The sequence below is a fragment of the Homo sapiens genome, chromosome 6 (assembly GCF_000001405.40).
Source record: "Homo sapiens chromosome 6, GRCh38.p14 Primary Assembly".
Taxonomy (NCBI): domain Eukaryota; kingdom Metazoa; phylum Chordata; class Mammalia; order Primates; family Hominidae; genus Homo; species Homo sapiens.
In genome coordinates this window covers 32,423,063-32,437,329 of record NC_000006.12, presented here as the reverse complement: position 1 = coordinate 32,437,329, position 14,267 = coordinate 32,423,063, and positions in this window count along the sequence as shown.

Genomic DNA, 14,267 nt, shown 5'->3' with positions numbered 1-14,267 from the left:
CTTAAAACTGTTAGGGGGTCTGGAGGAGCACAAGTCACTGCAGACCCCTAATTTTAAAAGATCAGGAACCCACAGGAAGCCTCTGCTGATGTTGCAGATCCTCTAGAGCCCCTAGGAGTAAATGTCTTTAGAACACAAGGCTGCTGCCAAAACTCATGTCTGTGAAACCTGTCCCTGAGATGGCTGTGGCCTAACTTCCACCTCCCAAATCTCATAATACTGAGTTTCACTGGAGAAATGTATTCCATGTTCAGAAACCTGGGGCAGAGCAAGCCTGAGAGATGTAATATTCTTACATCTATTCCCAAAGATACAGACAGGATCAGAGAAGCAAATGGAAATTTTACAAAAATTACTAAATGCAAATATGTGTGTCTATGTTTGTGTGTATATCCACCATAGATCACTCTGGTTCTCCCCACAGTGCCAAGTCTAAAACCAGAGGACATATTCTTCTGGAGAAATAAGTTAGGGCTTTCACACTGGGCCCAGATCAAGTCTGGGACCTCAATACTTCATTTGTTTGTGTGGTTTGAATTCTGAGAACCTCCAGCCCCTTCTTTTAGCTTCCCTTCCACCACCCCCTACCCCCTTTTCCTTCTGCACTAAGGGTCTTCATGGTGTTTTTCTCCTACTAAGGACTTCCTACCAGAGGTGCTGAGGGAATATTGATCTAGGTATTTCCTTCTCAATTCACTACATAAGAAGCTTTTCTTGTGTTACTTTTTCTCATCCTGAGAGGTCACAGAAGCTGGTCTGCTGGAATAGATCCCTATCAGAATAAAAACTGTGAACTGTTGATATCAACAAATGCACTAGGACGTTAACAAATGTGCTAGGGCAGTGGGTTAATGGGCCTTCCTAGCATGTCCTGTGTTAATAGAGGCCTCCACGATGACTGGACTCATCTTTAACCTGGGAGGATGGCAGTTTGAGTTTGATTCATTCTCTCTTCACCTCTACCTGAAACCTGATGCTTTAAAGACCAGAGTTATCTTTATACAGACCTCCTGGGGTGTGAAATTACCCCTCTTTACTTGACTAGTCTTTGTAAATTACAAAATGCATGCAGGTAGGGGTGTGTGTGTGTACGTGTGCACACTTAGAAACTTTGAATCCACATCTCAGAATATTTTCCTGCCGGCCAACTACAAGTTTCATTGCTTTAACTTGAGAACCTGTAGTCAGATTGTTCTATAATTCTCTGTGTTCTTGTCTGTTCTAAATGGCACAAGCTAAGTCTTATAATTGAGAGACTCTGAAGGAAAAGATTAGCTTGACCAATCACCAAAGAAGTCTAAGGGTAGTTGTCTCTAATAGCTGCCCCCATACAGCCAGTCCATGGCTTGATTCACTCACTCAACATCTCCTGTTCCTTAGAAATTCTGGCAATTTGTTTTCAGAGTTCCTTCCATCTCTATCATATTGGCCACTCCGAAGTCAGCACAGAGAATTAGGATATAGGACATTCTGTTGCTCTCATCTTCTCATCTTTGTTCTCATCTTCTGAAAAAACGCATGTCCTCACCTGTGAATCCTTTCTTAGCTATTCTTCCAGGAATAGGGAATGATTTTACTCAATCATCCATGTAAAACAGAGACCAGAAACTTCATTTAGACATTATGTTCTGTTGCATGAGTAAACTATGGAATCTCATCAAGGTCAGAATGATTTTATAGAATTCAGATGTGTTTGTATGCATACGTGTTGTGTGTGTGTGTGTCTGTGTGTTGAAGGAGGAGAATTAGGAAAGTATCAATTTCAATCAATCTAATTCATATAATTTTTTAATTTACTCAATTGTTTAAATACTATTTGATCCTATTCTTTATTTAAGGTACTTTCTTTTGTTTATTTTTTTAAAACATCTGAAGCATACAAATGTAATTGCTAGGTTGGATAAGCACTAAATGGAATCTTTAATCAAACAAAAACTCATTGTGCCTGCTCTTGCCTCTTTAGAGAATTTCATTAGAGATGCTATTCCCCTGCGCTTGGGTAGGAATTATAGCATACTTCATGAATTATTTTCTTGATTCTAATTAATATGCTATTCTACAATTCCCTTAAATTGCACAAGTATATCTTAGTTCAGCAATTAGATTGTTTGGTACTATATAATAATTGAAAGTCCCAACTTGATTTAATATAAATCTCTTTCTATCCCTGTGTAAATTGTTGAAGGCAGGAATGAGTGTGGTTCTCCTTCCTTCTTACGTTCTACTGGCACTTTGAGGCCATAGCTCATCTAGGGTAGGTTCAGGGAAGGGGAGGAAGAGAAAAAGACCAGAAACGTCTTACTGGAAATGAAATATTTGTGTTCTCTGAGCCTGGATGATGTTCCAAGTAAAGCTTTTCTCTTGTGCAAGGTTTGGTAGGCTCTTCAGATTCCTTCATGGCCCGTGTCTGGTGTGTAGGGGACACTAAAACATTCTTTGTGTCCACAAACTCTGGGAGTGTGACCATTCCCAATGCATCACAGTTTCCAAGATCCAATACCAACTAGTCCATATACCCTGCCCTTTAGGATTCTGATGGAAGCAGAAGCCAATCCTATCATCTTCAACCACCCAACTTCATATCAAGTAGAGGAAACTCTTGGTCCCCCTAGAAAACAATTTCACTAAATTCCAGGCAAGTAAGTTGGTCCCTTTCCCACATACGCTGGGAGTAGATGATAGAATTCATAGTAAAGAGCAGATCTATTCAAGGATATCACAAATCTGCTTCATCCTATACTCTCTGACCACCCTTTGGTCAGTAGAGAGACAATAACAGAAACTTGTTTGTCCCATCATTCCTTATTTACTTATTTATTTTATTCTACTTTAAGTTCTGGGATACATGTGCAGAACATGCAGGTTTGTTACATAGGTATACATGTGCCGTGGTGGTTTTCTGCTCCCATCAACCCGTCATCTAGGTTTTAAGCTCCTCAAGCACTAGGTATTTGTCCTAATGCTCTCCTCCCCTTGCCCCCCACCCCCCCAACAGGCCCCTGTGTCCATGTGTTCTCATTGTTCAACTCCCACTTATGAGTGAGAAAATTCAGTGTTTGGTTTTCTGTTCCTGTGTTATTTTGCTGAGAATGATGGTTTCCAGCTTCATCCATGTCCCTGCAAAGGACATGAACTCATTCTTTTTCATGGCTGCATAGTATTCCATGGTGTATATGTGGCACATTTGCTTTATCCACTCTATCTTTGATGTGTTTTCCCCATCATTTCTTTATGAATTCTGCAAAAGAGGTGAACAACAGTGTCGCATGTCCATAAACAGATATCTGTGTTAATGGCCTCTTAGCTGATACTGAGGAAAGACCACAAACATTGAAAACAAAACAACAAACATATGAAAAAGTATAAATCATGGTCATTGTCTGTTACTGGTCACATAGACATAATTATAACACGGTTTAGGAAATGGAGGCAGAACTGGCCATTTCAGCTGTGTTTCCTAGTCCAGTTTTCTTACAAGGTAATGGAGAAGAGTGTGCATATAACATGTTTTTTGTTAGATTAAGCATCACTCTGTTAAGGAATAAACTTGAGTTACTTTCAATCACTTTTAAGGATGCTGCTCTTTTTCCCAAAGTAAAATTGATATTTGAGGCCTCAGTAAGTTCCATGTTATGTCCAATTATTTAGCATTACAGTGTCTGTCTGCTTCCAAGTGACTAAAGACTTTTACTCTTGGCCATGTGCCACATAACTGAAGATTATTCTTTCAGGTGAAAGTGGCAGGATTTCTATAAGACCCTTAAGAGGCTTTTCCTTTAGTTAGAAGGGAATTTAGGGACTGGAGTTCTGAGAACTGGCCATGTCCAGACAATAGTGCCCCCAAACGACAGTCATTTCTGCCACCTTTTCTCTGGACATATGCAGCATTGTTTGGAAATCTTTTTTCATTAAGCATGATCTGTGCTCATTTCTGAAGATCATAAGAATGTCTATGTAGCAGTCTTTTTCTACTCTTAATTCTTTTCTAAAAGGTATAATTGAGAGTAAGAAACAAAAAACTAGAAGATGGTTTATTTAAGGTACATGGTTAGCAATCATAGTAAAGGAGCTGAGTTCTAAACATGTAAAACACTTACTGTAGTGAAGTTAGGAAGACAAGGAGTGTGAAGATGAGAAGTTAGAAGTGTGGAGAAGGAATCACTAGAGCCTCCTGATAAGAAAGATGGTAGAAAATGATTTTTTAAAGTACTTAAGTAGGTAAGATTTCAAATCCAAATGTCGTGAATGAGTGAAGGAAATTTTCACAAAAAAATAGAAGTCATGAGAAGAAGGTGGCTCTTGTTCACACTAAGTATAGCATGGGTCAAGCACAGAATGTAAGAGGGGAATTAGTTCTCACAATAAAATAGAAGAGAATATAAGTGGCTAAATGGCATCTAAAAAATAAACCATTCCAAGACTTAAGCTAATACAGATGGTCTCTGACTTATAATTTGGCTTATGATTGTTCAACTTTATGATGGGTTTATTGGTGTATTAAATGCATTTTCAGCTTAAGATATTTTCAAGTTATAATGGGTTTATTGGGACATAACCCTATTGTTAAGTTGGAGAGCATCTGTACACGAGCAGTGGTCCATGCTGCAAAATGTTTTTTAAAAACCAATAGTGAGGATAGAGAATAAACTATTTTAGGTTTCTGAGATTACTTAGGAACTTTGAACCTTTAAGGTAGAAAGAAAGGTGAGAAATATGCCAGAAGACTGTTACTGCTTTCACTGAAATTCTTTTTTGGGGTCCAGTTTCTTTTTACCAATTGAAAATACTACTGCTATGACTATGACACTAAAGCTTACTTATATTTATTAGATAATAGTTGTATTTCCATTTTACCTGAGAAAACTGGGTTTAAAGAAATCTAGTCTTTTGGTCAAGGGCTTACTTAGAAAGTGGCAACTGTGATTTTCTAAATCAAGTCTCTATCTCTGTAGCCAATAATATGTGGAGTCCAAGAACCAGTCCACTCAAAACACTAAAACCACTCATACCACAAACATGTCCTTGGGTAGGGATGACGGTTGGTTTTTTCTTGTATACTATGTTTATATGTGACTATTTCAAAAGTTCTCAGGACACATATTTTTCCCTTGATTTTCTAATTTATAGTATAACTGGGACTAGGTTTCCCTCTTGTGGTCAACAGTGTTTAATTCTTCATAAGTGTTTTTGACATTGAGTATTCAGACACCTTATGAAAGATCAAGGATTTCTTAAGTCAGGATGCTTCAACTAATTTTTTTCTTATGTGCATACTCAAAGTGTGTTTGATTTAATTAGGTCACTTAAATGGTTTGTAATTTTATTTATAAAATTACTTATAAAATATTTAAAACTTATAAAAATATTTAAAGTCTTTTTATAAGTATTACCATGCCTTTTTTGAATAAGCACACAAAATATAGGATGTACTTCTTTTAAATAATTTGAAGGTTGAAATAATGTCTTAAAACGGACAAAATTAACTGTATTTCATTTTGAATCTTGTGGATAAATGCTTTATAACACCCTTTCTACTTCTCCATGATGTATTTAATCTTAGGCTAATTTTCTAGCTGTTTTCTGGAAACCTGATGGAGGAAGAATGTCAGCTGGATTTTTAGACAACATTGCTTATGGCACAAATGGCTTCTGGTTGGCATTTTGTATCTTTACTGGGAAGAATATTTCATGAACCGTAACAAATGACGGGGACCCATAGTTTGGGTATTTCCAAATGCAGTGACCCTTGTAACTGAGCATGCCCTTTACAGGGACTCTGGAAGCTGTGCCCATGGGTTTGTTATAAGAGGTACTAGCTCGTAGATGACATGAGGATTCTAAGCTAGGGTGGACACAACTTCCACAGGTGTAAATTCAGCTCCTTGTACCTGAGTTGTCACTTGGGGGATGGGGGCAGAGGATGAAACTAGCACCTGGAATAAATTATAGACTGTTTCAAGAACTTCTCCCACTGAAGAAAAAGACCTGATTCAGCACTTTGGCATACTTTGACTCCTGTCTAATATCCTTCTAAGTGAATCTGAGAGCCAGGTGTGGCCTATGGTAAAAACTTGAATATGAGTATTTAGTTAAACCTGAGAATACTCCCTGCCCCCGGGTATTGATACATCGGCAATTTTCATTTTATGTCTTTTTTTATGTGTATATGTCATATGGTATATGTGTATACATAGGAGATACACACACACACACGCACATTTCCCATATTTTGGGAAAAAATTTGCATATTTTTATGGCTTTAACATAATTAATAGTTTTAGTCTTGTTTTATTTTTGTTACCAAATTAACTTAACTCTAAGGATACATTATATGTTTATTTAAGGATCTAAGGATAGAGGTATAATATTTTAATATATGACAAAAACATATTTTAAAAAATATGGTGAGAGATTTCTGGTTCTAAGACAAGATGAAGTAGGTACAATTCTTCCTATTCCTCCTGCTAAGTACAGCTACAGACAGACATAAAAAGCCCTTGAATGATGGAGAGGAGAAGCAGGTTGGCCTCAGACCATGGGATTGGGGAATGACAGAGTGGTGAGTTTCATAGGTCTTCTTTCTGCCTAATATATCCAGGAATGAGTGCTGGAGAAACTGGAAAACAGGAAACATCAGTAGTCACAGACAAAAATATCCTAAGGAAAGCATGTTTCTCTATCCAAGGGAACAAGAAAGAGCAGCCTACCAGGCAGATAACTGACAGTAACCGCACTACTCCAGTCAAATACAGAAAAATCAGGGGCTTCCATCCCGCCTCAGTCAGCAAACACTGAGTGAGGAGCTTTGTCTTATCCCATTGCCTGGCGATAATGAGACACTACCTAGACCCATCAGGCTTATGTCAGAGGAAGCCAACTGGGGACCTAGGACTTTTGCCCCTGCCTATCAGTAATCAGCCACCTCCACACTGTGGTGTTAGTGAAGCCCATGTGAAGAGCCTGGACTTCCACCTGCCCTGTTGCAAGGAAGCACTCCTCACCCACTTTGCCAAGGTGTTGTCAGAGGAGGCCAAGTAGAAAGCTGGGACTTTCACCACTGTCCAGGTGTAAGGAGGCACTTCTCCCTTCCTGGTGTCAGTAGAGGCCATGTGGGAGCGCTGATGAGACCCTCTCCCTCCCAGTCAGGATTCTGTAAGTGGAGGCCTAGTGGGGAGCCTGAGTTTCTATACCCAGCCTGCAGCCACAAGGCACCCCTGCCAGAGAGCCTTCAGTTCTAAGTTCACCAGGAATTGAACCTGTCAGCATCTTGATCTTGGACTTCCCAGCCTCCAGGACTGTGAGAAACACAGAGGGTCCTCCTACAGCATTGTTTTGTTCAACGTTTTGTTACAATGTTGGTGAGAAAATAAATAGGTTCCTGGCCAGGGCCACTGTCCATGAGGAGTTTGTGTGTTCTCCCCACGTCCGCATGGGTTTTCTTTGTGTATTTGAGTTTTATCCCACATCCCAAAGACATGCATGTTAGGTTAATTGGTGAGTCTAAATTGTCCCAGCAGAGTGACTTTGTGTGTATGTGTGTGTGTGTCTGCATCCCACAATGGATGGGATGGCATCCTATACAAGGTTGGTTCCTCTCTTGTCCTTGAGCTGCCGGGATAGGCTCCAGTCATCCATGACCTTGAACTGGAATAAGCAGGTTGGAAAATGAATAAGCGAATGAATAGAAATGTTTCTAAAATAAAAATTTGTAAAGTACATGATATTCATACAACTGTACAATAGTAAACAATGGGGTACAAAAGTACTCAGTGAGTTCAACGTATTTGTTCTTCTTTGTGTTTGAGCTGTGTGGTGGCAGGAGGTGCTCCTTACCATTTTCATTTTACAAACATTTGTTCCTTAATGTAACCCACCACCACTGTGACCACCATCACTCACTAATTCACCAAAAACTGGATAATTAATTATCTTACTTGTTATTATAAACCTACCTTAAATGTATATATAGTTCCCATTTATTTTAATGTTTAATATTAGAAGTGTTCTGAGTCTTTATTTAGGAGTTTGGTGATGTGTTTGTGACCAGAAATAAGCCACAGGAACTTAAATCTTGTTCGCATCAATTAGCCCAGGGGTTCCCAACCCCTGGGCCACAGACCACTAATGGCCTGCTGTCAGATCGGCAGAGGCATTGGATTCTCACAGGAGTGCAAACCTTTGTGAACTGTATTGTGGACTGCCCATGCGAGGGATCTAGGTTGTGCCATCCCACTCCCTGCCACCGCTAGTCCCCAACCCCCATCCATGGCAAAATTTTCTTCCACAAAACCAGTCCCTGGTGCCAAAAATGTTGGGGATCGCTGAATTAGCCTATGGTCAAATTAGTTTTATTATATGTCATTTTGCTTAAAGTCACAGCTTCTAAGAACCTATTGATGATGTTAAGTGAGGACTTTCAGTAAATGTCTGTTGTTTAATCTACTCCATCTGAGTGTCAATGGAGCCAAGTAGAGGACATGGAATTTCACATCATCTGGCAGTTTTGGGGTGAGAGTTACATATTTAAGTCAGTAGATTTTAAGTAAAGTACATTGCCCTCCATAACTGGGTTCCCCTCATTTAATCAGTTGAATGCCTGATTAGCATAAGAGGGAACTCTCCAACAGATTGTCTCAGACTCCATCTGCAATCCTGGCTCTTCCTGGTTCCACAGCAGACTACCTTTGGGCTCAAACTGCAACTCTGTCCCAGTCTCCTCCACTGCTGGCCTCTTCCATCAGAATTTGGACTCAGTAAGCTTCCACAATCATGTGAGCAAATTCTTTAAAAGAAGTATCTTTCTATATATACATATCCTGTTAGTACAACTGCTCTGGAGCACCTAATACAGATCCCAAGGGCATTATTCTGAGTACAAAATGCCAGTCTCGGAAGGTCACATATAGTATAATTCCATTTATATAACATTTTCTAAATGATAAAATTATACAGATGAAAATCAAATTAGTGGTTGGCACAGTGTAGGGATGGTGGGGGGTGGGGGAATGGTGTGACTCTTAAGGAGGGCGAGTGGCATGAGGAAGATCTTTGTGGTGATGGAATATAGTTCTGTATTTTGATCACAGTGGTGGTTACATGAATCTACACATGTGATAAAGTAGAAAACTGCAAATACATTGTATCAGTGTCGATTTCCTTGTTTCGATATTGTGCTATAGTTATGTATGATGTAACCATTGGGGGAAACTGGGTGAAGGGTACAAGGGACCTCTCTGTACTATTTTCATCAACTCCTGTGAATGTATAATTATTTTGAAATTAACATTTAAAAATCATAAAGCATATTATCTAATTTTTTCTCTCAAACTTTAAACAAATCAATGTTTACCTTGTAAATCTTCTCTGCACTCCCAACAACATTGGATATTCTTTATTTGTAATTTTTTTTAAACTACAGACACACCTGACTTAAGATGGTTTGACTTAGGATTTTTTGACTTTTCAATGGTGTAAAAGCAATATCCATTCTGTATAAACCATACTTTAAATTTTGATCTTATTCCAGACCAGCGATACTCAGTAAGATACTCTTTCACAATGCCAGGCAGCCTCAGCCACATGATCATGAAGGTGAACAACTTATACTCTACACTTTCAACTCACAATATTTTCAATTTACAATGGATTTATTGGGAGTTAACCCCATCATAAGTTGAAGAGCATCTGTATTACATTTAAAAACCCAGGTTATTTTAAAATAGTTGCTTATATTTACATACTTACAAGATTATTCAGTCTAGCCCAGATTTACAAGGGGGAAAAAACACACTCAAGGTATTTTAAGCCCAGAGAGATGTAATACAGTGAAGTGCATTGCAAAAGTTTTGTAAGGACAGAAAAAGCAAAATTGTGCTTCCAAAGGTCAGGAACTGCAGGAAGCTACTATTGGCCCTGCAGCACTAAACAAACCCACACTCCTGGCAGCTGCTGCTACTTGCTGTCAGAAGCAGAATGACAGCAATTTTCCACTGCCTTCTAATCGCAAGTGAGTGCCTTCCTAAGAAAGGGACTCTGGAAGAAGTGGTGTCCAGGCTTCAACCCCAAGTGATGTGGAAAAAAGCACAAAACAGGGGGAAATTGATTTAGTACCAACAGACAATATCTCCAACTTAAAATATCTTGAATATTTATTCCTGAATATATTACCCCTTTCTAATATCTCTCTTTGCATTCTCCTTATTTGTACTTACATATATATTTGATGAATTTTTAGCATTTTTAGTAATTTACTAAATCTATACTTAATAGAAATATTAAACCTAATATAATGTATAGCATTATCCGATATAGAAGATCTTAAATGTCATTAATTAAATGTTAGCCTCTTGGATTTTAATTTATATAAAGCTTAATAATGTGAAAATACATGAAGATCAACCAAATGAAAAGAGCAAAAATTATTCACAAATTGCTATAACAAAGGAGTCAGCCACCATCTTTTGCATTTTGGCAGAGACTCAAAGACAGGCAAAGAAGTAGGAAACTTTATAGTGGTTAAAAGGGACCTGATTGGAGGCTGTTGGCATGGGGAATGCTTAAGGGGTAACTGGAAGTGGAGTATCCTATGTAATTGGGTAGGATGCATATTTAGCTTTCCCTGGTTGGTCCTAAGTTGGAAGCAGGCACAAATATTGGGGGAACTGTCAGTTATTAATCAAGTCCTGGCCATTTTAAAACAATTGTTATAAAAGTTATTATTTAGCCTCCTGGATTGTTACTAGAGACAGCAATCTGACTTCCTGCAAGTCGGACTTAAGCAGACTACCTTGCTGTATTGTTTATTGAAGATAAGGGAATTGGTTCCCCAGGCAGGCTGCTGTAGGCTGTGGGTCAAAGGTCTATTTTTTTTTTTTTTTCTTAGATGGAGTCTTGCTCTGTCGCCAGGCTGGAGTGCAGTGGCACGATCTCAGCTCACTGCAACCTCCACCTCCTGGGCTCAAGTGATTTTCCTGCCTCAGCCTCCCGAGTAGCTGGGACTACAGCTGCGTGCCACCATGCCCAGCTAAATTTGTATTTTTAGTAGAGACAGGGGTTTCACCATGTTGGCCAGGATGGTCTTGATCTCTTGACCTCATGATCCATCCGCTTGGCCTCCCAAAGTGCTGGGATTACAGGCGTGAGCCACCATGCCCAGCCAGGCCTATTTTTATATATGGTCTGGCCATTGTCTGTTTCTATATCCAGTTTTTCAGAAAGCACAATTTAAAATCTTATTCTTTTTTCCACCACAGTATAAGATGCATTAGGGTCACAGTAGGACAAATTGTCCCACTGGCAACAACTACAAAAATAGGATAAAATTTTAAAGGTATATTTTTAAAAAGCATTGTTTAGCTAAGAAAGTAAATAGGACTAGATGAATAAAAATTCCAAAGAAGAACCATGCAAATGTAAGCTGACGTTTGGACATCACTGTTTCTCTTGGTAGCATTTGCTGTTTGCAAGTGTACGCTGCGTTTTAGTGCCATTTTTCTGCTACCGTTTTCTGCTGTAGAAAAGTTTTCTGCTACAATTTTCCTACAGTTTTCTGCTGTAAGAAAGAAATCAGCAGCAATTATGGGGCCAGTGTGATGTAACTAGAAAACTGAGGCATCTCAAACACTCTGGTTTCTTCAAAACACGTTGGTTAACTTCTGATGCTACGGTAGAAGGTAAAACAAAAAACTAAAGTGTCAACTTCTGAAAGGCAGTGCAAAATCTTTCACTGTCCAGTGGTGTTGAGGAAACAAAGACCTACCATTGATAAGGGCCCTAAAACAAAACAGACGTAAGTTTCAGAAGAACTGGTGAATTGATGCCAAGTAGCAACAACCACTTATCACCTGAGGACACTTACTGATCTGAGTGCTTCTTTGGAGCTAATAATCCAGGTTTGGCCTCTGACAATAGGCTCCTCCAGTGGACTAAGAAAATAGCAAGTGTTTTGTCATTTGACGTGGTGCTGCAATGACAAGATTTGAGAGTTGATGACTTCAAGCACTTTGTAGGTGTCTTTTTCAAAACACTTGTTAAATGTTGAAGATGTATGGAGTAGAAGACTAATGAGCTAAGCTGAAAATTTCTTTAAGTTCAGCCTAAATCTCCTTCAGCTCTTCAGGATTGAGGAGATGAAAGCTATCGGGTTTTTCATTGAAAGTCATGGAGGACTATGCTCTAGAAATGGGGCAAAACTGAAGTCAGGCATCACTTAGCTAAAGGGACAAGCTCTGAGAAATGTGTCATTAGGTGATTTCATCTTTGTGTGAACATCACAGAGTGTCCTTACGCAAACTAGATGTTATAGCCTACTATACATTTAGGCTATATGGTACACCCTATTACCCCTAGGCGACAAACCTGTACAGCATGTGACTGTATTGAATACTATTGGTAATTGTAACACAATGCTAACTGTTTATGTATCTAAACATACAAAAGGTGTGGTGAAAATACCATATGAAAGATTTTTAAATGGTAGATCTTTCTAGGACACTTACCATGAATGGAGCTTGCAGAACTGGAAGTTGCCCTGATGAGTCAGTGAGTGAGTGGTGAGTGAATGCAAGGGCCTAAGGCATTACTATACATTACTGTAGACTTTATAAATACTGTAACTAAGACAACATTAAATTTATGAAAAATGTTTTTCTACAATAATTAACCTTAGCTTACTCTAACTTTTTAAACTTTATATACTTAATTTTTTAACTTTTTGACTGTTTTGTAATAGCACAGCTTAAAACACAAACACTATACAAAAATATTTTCTTTATATCCTTATACTATGAGCTTTTTTCTACTTAATTTTTTTTTTTCACTTTTTAAACTTAAAAAAAAATCTAAGAAACACACACATTAGCCTAGGCCTACTCAGAGTCAGGATCATCAATATCACTGTTTCCCACTTCCACATCTTGTCCTACCAAAATGTCTTCAGGGGCCATAGCACACATGGAGAGGCCATCTCCTATGATAACTACACTTTCTTCTGGAATTCCTCCTGAAGGACCTGCTTGAGGCTCTTCTTGAGGAGGTGTCACTCTTCAGAAACAGGTCCATGATGGTTTGCTTGGTTTCCTTTTTTCATCATAGATTTGCTTATAAGCAGATGATTCACCGTGAACATTCCTCTTTATTAATGAAAACCTTGTTGTGCTGGGGTTCATGTTTTCAAATTTTTAAGGAGCTTGTTGAGGTCTGCAAAAGCTCCTGCTAAACCCTGCACAGGGAATTTTATTTGGGGTTCTTCTTCTTCTTCTCCTTCAGTTTCCTTTTTTTCTGACCACTACTTCAACTATGCATTCCTGTCTCAGTTCCAACAACTCCTCATTAGTCAATTCCAAGGAACTACCTCTAGGAGCTCCTAATGCCATCCTCATCCGTACTCAGTTTAAAGTTGTTTGCCATCTCAACCAAAGCCTTGTAGATTTTTGCAATCTCCTCATCCTTGGCAAACCCTTTGAACTCACAGACAAACCTCCTGAGTGTCTTCTTCCAGATGCCATTCACACACTCCTCGGTGACATCATCCCCATCCCAAGCAAGGTTCTTGATGTAGCCATAGCTGTTGTTATCCTTCCAGAATTGCATCACTGTCTTCTCAGTGTCTTCCTGAGTTACCATAATAACATGGGCAAAGGCCCTCTTCAGATAGTAAACCTTAAAAGCTGCTATAATTCCTTGATCCATTGGTTGGATTAAAGAGGGAGAAGCACCACTTCGATATTGGGATAAAGATCATTAATAACAGGAGGATGTGCAGGAGAACAAATAACCATAAACAAAATCTTGAAAGTTATGGTATTTTTCAGACAATGCCTCTCTATTTCTCTGGCATAGCAATTTAGGATGTAATCATGGAAGAGGAGATGGGTCATCCATGATGTTTTATTACACCTGTAGTGTACTGGCAGGATATACTTTATATATATATATATATATATATATATATATATATATATATATATATATTTTTTTTTTTTATGGAATCTAGCTCTGTCTTCCAGACTGGAATGCAGTGGCATGATCTCGGCTCACTGCAAGCTCCACCTCCCAGATTCACACCATTCTCCTGCCTCAGCCTCCTGAGTAGCTGGGACTACAGGTGCCCACCACCACACCCGGCTAACTTTTTGTATTTTTAGTAGAGACAGGGTTTCACTGTGTTAGCCAAGATGGTCTTGATCTCCTGACCTCGTGATCCGCCCACCTCGGCCTCCCAAAGTGCTGGGATTACAGGCGTGAGCCACCGTATCTGGCCTCTTTTT